Genomic DNA, 13267 nt, shown 5'->3' on the forward strand with positions numbered 1-13267 from the left:
ATGTTTTCCTTTAAACGTTTAAAGTTTAACTTTTAAAATCTCAGTAAGAAATACATCTGACATTACCACCCAGACTCATACACACATGTCACTGAATCAAAAGTTTCATGAAATAATACTTACTCTGTTGGATGCACTCTGATATTTTCTTTAATTTCATTTTTTAAAAAGTGCTTGTGGGGACTTGTAGGTGGAAAGCCATGGTCCTAAAGTGTACGGAGAAGCTGTCATTGCTAAAGTGAGAGAAGCTTTGCTTCCAAGCTAGGATCAGGTTAGGATTAAACTATAAACAGATGAGGGCTTCTGTTTGCTCTGATCTGCAGACTGAGAGAGTCTGGCCTCATTAAGAAACAGAAGCCAAGGCGGGGCTTACTGACGATGATGGACTTCAAGCTCCTAGGGCCTGCTCTTTGCAGCTTTCCTGTTCAGTACTTTATATCTTTCCTTCACTCCTTTAACATACCCATCCCTAACTCACAAAGATTCCCCAGACTCCACCTGGTACCCCAGCGATATTGTGTGCACAGCTCTACGATGGCTCTTGTCACACTGTACTGTAATGCAAATCTTTTTTAGGTGGCTAGCTCTTCAACTGAGCTGCTGGAGGGATCCCGGCCAGGGAAATGCTGGCCAAAAAGAGTGTGTGAATGGGAGGAGAGGAACTTTTGCATCTTGGGGTCTAGAGGTGCCCATCTCTTCCTTGTTGTTGCCTGGGCAGGGGGTCACCACTGGCTCTGGAGCCACAGCGGGGAAAGGCAGGCCAGGGTACACCGCGGTGGAGCAGAAGGGCAGGGAGCAGTGATGTAATTCAATTACAGAACTCGGTTATCCCTTCACTTTGTGTAGAAACGTCACCACTTAATAAATTTTTTTGTTTGTTTGTTTGAGACAGAGTCTCACTCTGTCACCCAGGCTGGAGTGCAGTGGCATGATCTCAGCTAGCTGCAGCCTCTGCCTCCCGGGTTCAAGCGATTCTCCTGCCTCAGCTGGAGAGTCCTACTCTCCTGAGTAGCTGGGACTACAGAGGTGCACCACCACACCCAGCTAATTTTTGTATTTTTAGTAGAGATGGGGTTTTACCATGTTGGCCAGGATGGTCTCGATTTTCTGACCTTGTGATTCGCCCACCTCGGCTTCCCAAAGTGCTGGGATTATAGGCATGAGCCATCGCGCCTGGCCACCACTTAAGAAATTAATAGTCCCAGCTACTTGGGAGGCTGACGCAGGAGAATCACTTGAATCTAGGAGGCGGAGGTTGCAGCGAGCCAAGATCACACCACTGCACTCCAGCCTGGGTGACAGAGCGAGACTCTGTCTCAAAAAAAAAAAAAAGTAAGAAATTAAGAAAATAGGCTGAAGGTGGTGGCAAGTGCCTGTAATCATAGCTGCTAGGGAGACTGAGGCATGAGAATTACTTGAACCCAGGAGGCAGGGGTTGCAGTAAGCCGAGATCACGCCATTGCAGTCCAGCTTGGGTGACAGAGCGAGGATCCAACTCAAAAAAATAAATAAATAAATAAGCCGGGCATGGTTGCACATGCCTGCAGTCCCAGCTGCTTGGGAGGCTGAGGCAGGAGAATCACTTGAACCTGGGAGGAGGAGGTTGTAGTGAGCAGAGATAGTGCCACTACACTCCAGCCTGGGCGACAGAGCAAGAGTGTCTCAAAAAAAAGAAGAAGAAGAAACAAAACCAAACCAAAGAAAATGCATGACTGTTCCTCTTAATTATTTACCTAGCTCTGTTTTGTTACATATTGTAGTTGTAACCCATGAGCAATAGATAAAATGTCACTAGATAGAATGTTTGTGGCCGGGCACAGTGGCTCACTCCTGTAATCCCAGCACTTTGGGAGGCCGAGGCAGGCGGATCACCTGAGGTCAGGAGTTCAAGACCAGCCTGGCCAACATGGTGAAACCCCTGTCTCTACTAAAAATACAAAAAATTAGCCGGGTGTGGTGGCACGCACCTATAATCCCAGCTACTCGGGGGGGCTGAGGCAGGAGAATCGCTTGAACCTGGAAGGTGGAGGCTGCAGTGAGCTGAGATCGTGCCATTGCACTCCAGCCTGGGCAACAAGAGTGAAACGCCATCTAAAAAAAAAAAAGGTAACAAAAAACTCTCCCTCAAATTCGTGTTGATACCTAATTCCCAATGTGATAACATTTGGAGGTGCGGCCTTTGGGAGGTGATGCAGTCATGAGGGTGGAGACCTCATGAATGGGATTAGTGCCCTTATAAAAGAGACCACCAGAGAGCTTCCTCTCCCCTTCCTTCATCTGAGGACACAGTGAGAAGCCAGCTGTCTATGAACCAGAAAGCAGGCCCTCATCACACATTGATTCTGCTGGCGTTTTGATCTTGGACTTCCCAGCCTCCCTGTGAGAAATGAATTTCTGTTGCTTACAGGCCACCTGGTCTATAGTCCTCTGTTACAGCAGCCTGAATGAACCAAGACACCCATGTACACATTTACAAACAAAACAAGTACGGCCTAGCCCACATTCTCAGGAGCTTACAATTTTCCTTTAAGTAAAGTTACGTGGGAAGACCCTGAACTGTGGAGCAAAAAGGGCCTGCGTTGAGACTAGCTCTCCTGCTTGTCGTGCTGTGGTCTTGAGAAGCACCTGAACTCTTTGACCCCTTTCTCCTCATCTGTGGAATTAGGGTAACTATGCCATTCCCCAGGCTTGCTACCAGGAGGAGAATGCGGGGACAGACTTGGGAGCAGCTCACATTCCTGAAGAAGTTAACGTTCTAAGGTATGGTGGTGACAAGCCGGACCGGGCAGAATACATTCTTCCCGTGGTGAAACAGAGGAAAATAAAGCTGGACAGACAGTGAAGGGCCCTGTCATGGAAAGCTCCAGCCAGACAGAGCGGTCTGGAGTTTGTTTTGCAGGCAGTGGTCATGGGGAAAGGCTTTGTGAAACTCACGGTTCAGCGGCTGAGTCTCACCGCCTGTGTAGCTTGGGTGGGGTGGAGTGAGACTGGAGGCTGGGAAGCACCTGAGAGGTGTCAAGGGCTGCCGTGTGGACTTAGCCTGGGGCAGTGGGAGGGGTAGGGGTGGAAGGCAGGCCACAGGAGTGAAAATAGGGCCCCGGTTTCCAGGGCGTCGTTCCCCCTGCATCTTGCTCTCTGCCTTTCTCCTCTTGTCCTTCTGTCTCCACCCCTATCCCCATCTCCCAAATGCTTCAGAGCATAAAGGTGCTGCCCAGCCAAAATCACCCGCACAAACTCCAGGTAAACTTGGTCTGGGCAGCTTTGAGTGGGTCATGAGTGGAGGAAGGGCAGGCCCACTCTTTCCTTAGTATATGAGTGAGAAAAGCGACCGCTGGTTAGATCTCACAGGAAACCAGAGCCTTGTGGCAGCACCTGACTTCAGGTGCAGCACAGCCCACGGAGTGAGAAGCTGACACCTCTGTGCCTGCTGAGGCAGGCTGCTCCTTCTACACCAGGCCAGGGAAATCAGGTCACCCACTCCAACAGTCTGCCGGACGCTGGGGACTGACTGCTGCCTCTGGGGCATCCACCACAAAGGATTCATGGACTCACTGACAGGGCCAGGCACCTGGCTAAGGATCTCAAACTGGTGCGGCCCACGGGTCCATTCAATCTATAGATGGGTTTTGTGCGGCCAACACCGTCCTTCTTGTCTACCTGTTGTATATGCATTCTGGCCTTGCCCCTGAGTTTATGAATTTACCAACCCCACCTTAGCAGGGCATGAAGAAATGCAAAGGCGCTCCAGGAGCTTCTGATTTTGCTGGGAAAACAAAACAAGTATACAGGCAAAGAGGGAGGACAATGGCAGACCCAATGCATGGGGCAGTCATCTGCATTTCTGAGTTGAATTTAGAGAAGAGATCTTCTCCCACAGATGATAAAGGGGTGCATAGAGGTGAGGTGCACACGGCCTGGGGGAAGTCAGCCCTGGGATGAGCATGGGAGAGGGAGGTTCCCCAGTGGGGAAGGACACGAGGGTATGGACTGGAGAAAATCTGCATGGCTGGGCCCCATTCCACAAACAGAGGGCCCCGAGAGGTGTCTGCGTAAGGGAGTGATGATGAAGGCACATGGGGAGAGTGTACAGGACTGGGCCACCCAGGAATCAATAATCTGGAAAAGGTGGCAGAGTGGGGAGCTCTGATTCAGGAGAGGCACTGCTTTGGGAGAAATCTCAGAGGATGTAAAGACTGATGCCGTGTGGAAGTTGGATTCAAAGGACACCAGGCTTGAAGCTTCAGAGTATGTAAGAGAGGTGCAGCTCTGGTTATTGAAGCAGGGGAATCATGAGAGGGAGGTTGCTCAGGGTGGGAGGTGAGAAGCTGAGACATTTTGGTTTAAATGTTATATTTAACAGAAGAGATATGCAGCTTACATTGAGAGCTATGGGGCAGGACATGGAGGCCTGGTGGAAAAGTGCATGTGGAGGTGATGATTTAGGGCAGGGATGGATTCGGTGAAACCCCGAAAAAAATGTGGAGGGACAGATACTGGGGATAAGGAAAAAGGAAATTGTTGTGGAACTGGAGAGGTGGGGTGTACACAGGTGTCAGGGGAGAAGACAGTCCTAGGGAAGTGCTCTATTAGCATTACCAATTGCAGAGGTTTCAGAAAGAGTGCTGAGAAGAGGCTGGGGCGTCTGAAGCTAAGGGGCAACAAGATTTTCAGCAGGGGTGCGGAAACGGGCAATACCTTTCAGGGTAGAGGAGAGCAGGTGCAGGGGAAGGAAGGTGGACTGGTAGAGACTGCTATCTCAGGGAACAGGCAGTGGAAGTGATGGGTAGGAAGAAAAAGGAAGGCATAGATGTTTGGAGGCAAAAGGGAAGGAGACAGTGAGAAGGAAGTGCTGAATTTGCTGAGGACAAAGGAGAAAATGAGACAGAAAGAGGCAGATGAGGTGGACGGGGTAGACGGAGATGCTAATCTTGGATTTCACAACAGGCTGCATCCCCTATCCCTCCACTGTGTGCCAGGCCTACCAGCCTGCACCTGGCCCCAGTACCCCCAGGCCTTGGTCTTTATTCTTGTGGTTAGGCAGCATGGAAGTCAGGCAACTGGATGGACCAGGCATTCTCTGGGAATGGCCAAGGGTGTTCAAAGCCCAGGGCTGGGACCCAGAGCACCAGCAATTATTCCTTTTCCCGTTTGCTACTGATTCTTCTTTTCTTCCTTCATCATAGGGCCCATCAGAGCTGGTGGCTAGAAATCATCCAGAGGGCTGTAAACATTAGTGAGGCACTGAGTGGTCCCTGTTTCGGCCAAGGCATAAGCAGACAGATGGGAAGTGAAAGTGGGTAACCACTGAAAGGTGAGGGCGAGGGCTGGTTTCATCATCAGCGCCGCTGGCAACAAGAGCTATTAAGAGCCAGCCTTTGGCGAGACAGTAAGGAACTACAGATTTAAAATTCCTAGCAGCAAAGCTGTGTCTCTTCAGGGTTTGGTTACCCATGCTGATCCCATAACAACCACCATGCCAATGGCAGGGAACATCAACAAGCAAGGTGGTGACCATGAGGATGACCTTGCCACAAAACCAACCATACACCCCACACCCCTGGGGAAGGAGGCACCCACCAGCTGGGCCCTGTGGGGCTGTTCCAGAAAGTGCAGGTTGGGAGGAGGATGGAGTGAGGAAAGAGGCCAGGGTCTAAATGGAAAGGGCCAGTGAAAGGGAGAGACAGGCTTGTTAATCAATGACCACTACAGAGTTGGAAAGAGAAGGCAAAGAAAATGCCTCACTGCTGAGGATCAGCGTCCAAAGATTTCATTCTACTGAGAGTTAAAGAGATGCCAAAGCCGGGATTAATGTTGGCAAAGGAGATATGGATGGGCCATGACACCACCAGCCATATGTAATCAGAAGGGGATCAAAAAACATCCCCAGCCTTGAAATTGGCATTTTCTCTTATGTGCTGGGTGGACATTTGGCAATATCATATAAAATGAAAATATTTGCATAGCCCATGACCCAGAGAGTCCACTTGCATAAGGACGTGCTTTATAATGGTCTATTCCACTGCAGATAATAAAAGAAGGCGTGCAAGAAGATCTATATGCAGTGACGTGCAAAGGTATCAAGAACAAGTTGCGAAACCCCATGGTATGATTTCATCTGATTAAAAGAAAAAAGGTATACACTATATATTATAGTGAAAATACCTATGTGTGTGTGTGTGTGTGTGTGTGTGTGTGTATTACAAGTAATGATTAAAAGTAGTTATGTCGGGGGGTTAGACTAGAAAGTTGAGATTCTAAGGAGGAGCATTTTTCACTTGATATTCTTCTCTATGGTATAGTTTTTACATGAGCTTTTTTTTTTTTTTTTTTTTTTTTAGACAGAGGAGTCTCATTTTGTCTCCCAGGCTGGAGTGCAATGATGTGATCTCAGCTCACTGCAACTTCCATTTCCCAGGTTCAAGAGATTTTCATGCCTCAGCTTCCTGGGTAGTTGGGATTACAGGCATGCTCGGCTAATTTTTTTTTTTTTTTGATACCGAGTTTCGCTCTCGTTACCCAGGCTAGAGTGCAATGGTGTGGTCTTGGCTCAATGCAACCTCTGCCTCCCGAGTTCAAGCAATTCTCCTGCCTCAGACTCCCTGAGTAGCTGAGATTACAGGCATGCTCCACTATGTCTGGCTAATTTTTCGTATTTTTAGTAGAGACGGGGTTTCTCCATGTTGGCCAGACTGGTCTTGAACTACTGACCTCAGGTGATCCACTCGCCTCGGCCTCCCAAAGTGCTGGGATTACAGGCATGAGCCACTGCACCCAGCGAGCATGTATTATTTTTATAATAATTTTTAAAAATCTTGAGCTCCTCTTGCCCTAAACTATTTCCCCTATTAGTCTGGTTGTTTCGGTGCCCATATATTATGAAATAATCAGAATACAAGTCTGATAAATATGAATTCTAGTGGGGACAATGGAATAGGGTATTTGCAATTGAAGTCACTGCATGAAGTACTCTCTCCCTTGTCCCTTTCTCTCCCTTCTCTGGCCTGAATGTCCCATCCCTATCCCCATACCTGTAAGTCACTCCTCTGGCTTAAATGGGGAGTTAACACAGGGTGGTGGGAAGTATAGTAGACTTGGAGTCTCTCACGCATTGCCTGCCAGGGCCCACCGTGCAGGACTCCAGGCCCTACTCTAAAACTTGCTACTTGCCCGACTGCAGGCTCTCAGACCCTCATTTCCCTGTGATAGGGTAAAAAAAATACTTGCTCTGCCTACATCACACAGATGTGAAGATAAAATGAAACAATGCCTTTGAAGGTATCTGGAAACAGGAGAGTGAGTCCTATATATATCTATATATATGTGTGTGTGTGTGTGTGTGTGTGTGTGTATATATATATATATATACACATATATGGTTTTTATAAATCAGCGTTAACATTTGATTTTATAACCATCATTAAAAAGGGAGAGGTAAATGGGTGGAGAGGGAGGAGTGAAAAAACAAAATAAAAGGTAGAGGCAGTATTCAAGGTCACAGTTAAAAATTTCATATTCCCTGCAGGTGGTAGGTGCTGAATGGTTGAATAAATGAACAGTCCTAAAATGGATATATTTTGGGGCAACAGTAAGTTGCCCCCAGGAAGAAAATCACTTTTGGAAAATAAAACTGGCAAGAATCTATGCTAAATGGATGAGACCAGCCACAGAAGCACTTCATCCTAAAAGATGGTAAAGGTGGTGTATACAAAATTAGGCCGGGTGCAGTGGGTTATGGCTGTAATCTCAGCACTTTGGGAGGCCTAGGTGGGTGGATTGCTTGAGCCCTGGAGTTCGAGACCAGCCTGGGCAACATGGTGAAACCCAGTCTCTACAAAAAATACAAAAATTAGCCATTCGTGGTGGGATGCAACTGTAGTACCAGGTACTGGGGAGGCAGAGGAAGGAGGATCACCTGAACCTGGGAGGTCAAGGCTCCAGCGAGCTGAGATTGCACCACTGTACTCCAACCTGGGCAACAGAGTGAGGCCTTGTGACAAAAAAACAAAACAAAACAAAACAAAAAACCCAACCAACTTGGGTTGGGCAGGGTGGCTCACGCCTGTAATCTGAAAACCTTGGGAGGCCGAGGCGGGTGGATCACTTGAGGTCAGGAGTTTGAGACCAGCCTGGACAACATGGTGAAACCCTGTCTCTACTAAAATTACAAAAATTAGCTGGGCATGGTGGCAGGAGCCTGTAGTCCCAGCTACTCAGGAGGCTGAGGTGGCAGAATTGCTTGAACCCAGGAGGCAAGGGTTGCATTGAGCTGAGATTGTGCCATTGCACTCCAGCCTGGATGATGGAGCAATACTCCGTCTCAAAAAATTAATAAACAAATAAAAACAAAATAACAAAACTGGGGGATACCCAAACCCAATTAATATTCAAATAAATGCTTGTTAAATGCCAGGGATAGTGCTATGCATTTTACTTATTTAAGTCTCATAACAACCCTATTATTTCCACTTTACAGAGGAATGGGAGGCACAGAGAAGTTAAGCAATTTGCCCAACCTCATAGCATGTAAATGGTCGACAAGATTCTAATTTCTAATAGTCTGGCCCCAGGTCCCATGTGCTAAACTATCCCTTACCTAGAACAGTAGGAATGCTTGCTCAGAAAAACAGGACTTAAAATAGAAAAAAGTGGTGTTTTTTGAACATCTGACTGAAACGGAATGTGTTAACATATTGTTTCTAAACTTACCAGGTAGCAAGAGTCATTCTTGTGATTGCTTCCCAAACTGCAGCATGCTTATGAATCATATGGGGATCTTGTTAGAATGCAGATTCTCATTCAGCAGGTCTGGGGTGGAGTGAAGGCTCTAGGCAGAGGGCTAGAGGGTCCCATCATTGGAGATAGACTTCCCCACGGAAAATGAAGAAACTGGGTTCTGCTCAGAACCTCAGTCTCCCATGAGGCAGTTCCCAATAGCAGAAGCCTCTCTTTGAGTGCCCCAAACACCTGAATTTCTGGACCAGGAAAGCAGAGGTACAGCCCCAGGCCCTACTCCCTCCCTGAAAACTCAGCTTTTTGTGCCCAGCAAGCTCTGAGGTGGGGGGTCTTGTTGGGAAGCTTTCTCTTGCTGAAGGGATCAGACAAGTGAGGGGCACTGACCCTGGAAGAGGAATGCTGGGGAGCAAGAGCCTCGGCAGTGGTGGAGTGGACTGTGCAGTGAGTGGCCTGGCACAGTCTCCTGTGCTCTGGTCTGTAGAGAGAGCGAATGATAAATAAGGATGTACTGGAAGATGAGGTGTGTGGTTCATGTCCAGAAGTGGCAGGTCTGTTGGGGGAAGGGAGAGATTGACTTTGCCTCTTTGGCTGTTGTATTCATGGCCAGTCCTCAGTGTGAAACTCAATGCAAGAAGGGGTTTGTGGCCCATAAAAGCATGGGCTGGTCAATCTTGTTGATCCACTAGATCCATAGCAGGCTATTTGTTGACTGAACAGACGAATGAATGAAAGGCTAGGGAAGCCATACAAAGCCAGATGCTGTTACCCTCCACCTCCTCCTGGGATGACTTTGGGGATGACTCACGTCCTGCTGCCCCCTCACTTTCTCAGCCTAAAACCACACATCCTGGACTGTGCGGGCAGCGAGCTGACCCTTCCTTTTCTGCTGTAGGATCTTCATTACACAAAGTTCCTGAGTTTCCAGCAAGTTGCCTTTCTTCCCTGTTTAAGAGCTGAGAAAACTGGGCCTTGGGGAAAGCGAGAAGTCCCAGTTTAAGTCACCAGAGACGTCTTCCTAAAGAAGTATTCAGGATGCTGTGCTATCCAGAAGCTGGCTCCAGAGACACCTGGACCATTTCAAGCTCTAAGAACTGTGCTTCTGTTCCCTCTGCCTGGCTCCTATGCCATATCACACCCACATGTGTGAACTCAAAGCCAAAGGGAAGAGACCAGGCCATGTGCAGCCAGGACAGAGGCATGTAAAATCTAGAGAGGGTGGGCCAACCTCCCATACTCCTGTGTTGGCGGAGAAATAGACCCACCAGTTTGTCTGGCACAACCAAAACTCAGCTTTCTTGCCATGGGATGCTGGCCTGAGACCAGTCACAACCAGTCTCAACCAGTCTCCATATCAGGGCTTGGCTGTCTGGGTGCTTTCAAGCACCCTTCCCCCACCTGGATCCCAAGCATCCCTTGGACTCTGCCAGGACAGAGCCACAGATGCCGGGGGAAATGGGAAATGACTGGAGACACAGAGGACAGCCACATTCAAAGCTGGTGGGAAAGTGGTGGTGGTGACATGTGGCCCTTGCCTGAAACATTATTTTGAATTTATTTCCTGTAGGAATTGACTACAGGTGGGTTTTGTCTTGCAAGATAGGTTTCCTTTCTTGAGAAATCTCAAGAGAACAGAGTTTTCAGTAACTCTAAGACACGGTTAGGCCACTGCAACAACTTTATTTCTGGAGAGAACATGTGCTCTGGCTTCCTGCCTCTTCCTACTCTGGGGAAACTGGGGCCAATCTCGAAGACTGATCTCCTAGAAATGTCCTTTTTTATTCCAACAGGGTTTGATGCAGCTCAAAATACAGGCTGTAAAAGCAACAGAGTTAATAAAAAGGAGGGGGAAAGAAGGAGGAAGTAAATGTGTTAAGTGCAAATAAGAGTTGGCACCTAGGGCAATCATACTTGCCTCAGTACTTGCTGGCATCCTGGGAAAAGGCACTTACAATCTTGAAATTTGTTAGGTTCTTCGCAGCTTTAACTGCCGCTTCCTTCTCTGTGCCTCCGTTTCTCTGTCTATAAAGTAAGGGGAAAATACCTCATCTGAGATTTATTGAGAGCATCACCTGAGATAATCCATGCAGAGCACCTGAAATAGTACCTGGCACACAGTAAGCATTCAACTGCATCACAGATATTATTATTATTATTATTTTGAGATGGAGTTTTGCTCTTGTTGCCCAGGCTGGAGTGCAATGGCACGATCTTGGCTCACCGCAATCTCCGCCTCCCGGGTTCAAGTGATTCTCCTGCCTCAGCCTCCCAAGTAGCTGGGATTACAGCCATGCACCACCGTGCCCAACTAATTTTTGTATTTTTAGTAGAGACAGGGTTTCTCCATGTTGATAGGCTGGTCTCGAACTCCCGTCCTCAGGTGATCCACCCGCCTTGGCCTCCCAAAATGCTGGGATTACAAGCTTGAGCCACCATGTCCAGCTACAGGTATTATTATTACCTCATTCATCTGGGGATGGGGAGGGCATTGGTGGGTGGAGAGGAGCTGGTTCTCCTTTACTCCAAGGCTCCTACCTTCTCTTCCCTGGATGTTCTCGCCCCTGCTCCCATGCAAGTCCTCACAGACGGCCTCTGAAGCCGCCTTTGTTCCTGGTCTGGTTCCACAACGTTCCCATGCCCACTTGAGCTCCCTCTACTCCAAGTAGACTATTTCCAGGATGAGTACTTCAAGTACATCGAACAGTGACCTCAAATGCATTTCCTTGACTGTGCCTCTCTGAACTAAAAAGTGCAGAAATGTCATTGCTTCCTTCTTTTGTCTGGTCTTCCACAGGGCTAGGTTGGGATCCGGGGGGAGAGTAGCTTTCCTAGCTCTCAGCAGCTCAACTCCACCGAATTAGTGAACGATGGACATGTCCCCAAGAGGACTCTAAACCCACAGTCCCCAACATGGTGTTCTGCAGCATGCCACAGGTCATCTTGTTCTGTCCTCTCTGAGGGTGAGGTTGGAGAGGGACCCTAGGCTCACAGGCTCAGTGACAGTGACTCACCAAAGATCCTGTGGGCAGTCAGGGTCTGGGCCAGGCCAGTGAGCCCATTCATATGGCATGAGCCACAACACTGTTCCTCTTCCTCCGGCAGCAGCCCGTTTTGCGTGTCCCCTCACTATGAGCCGTGGGAGAAATTTGAAAGGGCTTGGATCAGAGGGCAGGGAGAAGAGGGTGGTCCTGACATCTGACACATACTTCATTTTAAACATGGGCTATGTATGACAGGCCTTCAGCTAGTTATTGAACAAAGAGAATAAGAGCCCTTTTACAAGGGCTTTACATATATTCATTCATTTGGTCCTCACAACAGCACTGTGAGTTAGAAGTCTCAATCTCACCCCTTTACAGATCAGGAAACTGAGGCAGATAATTTATTTGCCTATGGTCACAGGACTAGTGAGTGACAGAGCAGGTGGTTTGGTCTTACAGTCTATGTGTTTAACCACTACACCAAACCACCTCCCTAAGATGCTAGAGGGGGTTTGTGCCAATGCCTGGATTCTAAGAGATTAGATTCTCTTTAGGATCTCTGACCTGTTTCCTCAGCATTCAGAGATAAGGCCAGAAACAATGCCATTTGTGCACGAACTGACAACTGACGGTCCTCCTACCTCCTATTTCTATTTAAAAGGCACTGTAACTTCTTTCCACAGGCAGATCCCTACCTCTCCTCCCTTAGGGGAGGACGAAGGTGTCCCAGCCAAGGAAGATCCTGGTCTCCAAGGGCTGTACCCTACTGATCCGGAGGCAAAGCAGTGAGGGCCCACCCCAATTCCTCACCTCCCATTCTACTCTTCGGCAGAAGCATCTCAGTGTTGGAAAGATAAGGATTTCTTCCTAAAAAGGAAGGATTACACTATATCAGAGTCTGAAGATACAGTTTTCATTTGCAACGCAAGGGAATTCCTTTGAATCTCTACCTTATGATTTCCCTGCAAACCCACTCCGATGGGGCTGGAGAGTGCTCTCTCACTCAGATGAATCTCTCAGGGGTTGTCCAGCAGGTGTTTGCCAACTTGAAGAGCTACCTACTATCACAGACCTATAAAAGTACGCCTGTGGACAGACTGAAAACAAACAAACAAAACACACACACAAACACACAAAACAACCGCACACTGGGAGAAGTTCTAGGCAATTTCCTTGCAAATAACTGCTTTGAAAATTACTGTTTTAAATTGGCAGAACACTAAGGACTTTGAACAGATCATCCCTTTTACTCAATGTTTTCATAACCTTGAAGTGAAGGTGGAGGGAGCAGTACGTTTTAAGGTGCCAGGATTACACTACGGGGTCAGTGCTCCCGGATATGAACTTTCTTTTTCAGACCGACCTTGGGACCTACAGCTTTGTAAGTTACTCATACAACTCCATCAAATGTTACAGGTAGGTCAGAGGACATTCAGGTTGTTTAAGCCTCTATAAATGACTCAGGCAGCAACAATTTACAACGTCTTTGTTTCTGCTATGCAGTGCCCTCCTGCTAGAGATGGCAAAAATGTGGGGAGGGCTTCAGAGCATTCTAA

The 13267-nt window shown here is 47.9% G+C and overlaps 2 long non-coding RNA genes across 2 annotated transcripts, besides 3 other annotated features; one reads left to right on the plus strand and one right to left on the minus strand.

Annotated features, from left to right (window-relative positions):
- The first annotated feature begins 1856 nt into the window (after positions 1–1856).
- LOC107985934 (uncharacterized) lies at positions 1857–8409 on the plus strand. Its single transcript, XR_001739642.2, has 2 exons — positions 1857–6133; positions 7523–8409. It is a non-coding gene; the product is annotated as an uncharacterized LOC107985934 (long non-coding RNA).
- Positions 8996–10195: an enhancer, noted in NCBI's record as "MED14-independent group 3 enhancer chr2:113398010-113399209 (GRCh37/hg19 assembly coordinates)". NCBI's record gives its function as "activates an origin of replication core promoter dependent on BRD2, BRD4, P300/CBP and CDK7 cofactors, and independent of MED14, by STARR-seq in HCT116 cells {active_cell/tissue: HCT116}" and the evidence as "EXISTENCE:reporter gene assay evidence [ECO:0000049][PMID:35650434]".
- Positions 9435–9729: an enhancer, noted in NCBI's record as "tiled region #14161; K562 Activating DNase unmatched - State 5:Enh". NCBI's record gives its function as "activates a minimal TATA promoter and a strong SV40 promoter by Sharpr-MPRA in K562 cells {active_cell/tissue: K562}" and the evidence as "EXISTENCE:reporter gene assay evidence [ECO:0000049][PMID:27701403]".
- Positions 10325–11524: an enhancer, noted in NCBI's record as "BRD4-independent group 4 enhancer chr2:113399339-113400538 (GRCh37/hg19 assembly coordinates)". NCBI's record gives its function as "activates an origin of replication core promoter dependent on BRD2, P300/CBP, MED14 and CDK7 cofactors, and independent of BRD4, by STARR-seq in HCT116 cells {active_cell/tissue: HCT116}" and the evidence as "EXISTENCE:reporter gene assay evidence [ECO:0000049][PMID:35650434]".
- On the minus strand, positions 10393–12743 carry SLC20A1-DT (SLC20A1 divergent transcript). The gene is made up of 5 exons (NR_033871.1): positions 12662–12743; positions 12522–12578; positions 11742–11856; positions 10646–10752; positions 10393–10545 (listed from the first exon to the last, which is right to left on the minus strand). It is a non-coding gene; the product is annotated as an SLC20A1 divergent transcript (long non-coding RNA).

Source organism: Homo sapiens, chromosome 2, assembly GCF_000001405.40.
Source record: "Homo sapiens chromosome 2, GRCh38.p14 Primary Assembly".
NCBI classification, from domain to species: domain Eukaryota; kingdom Metazoa; phylum Chordata; class Mammalia; order Primates; family Hominidae; genus Homo; species Homo sapiens.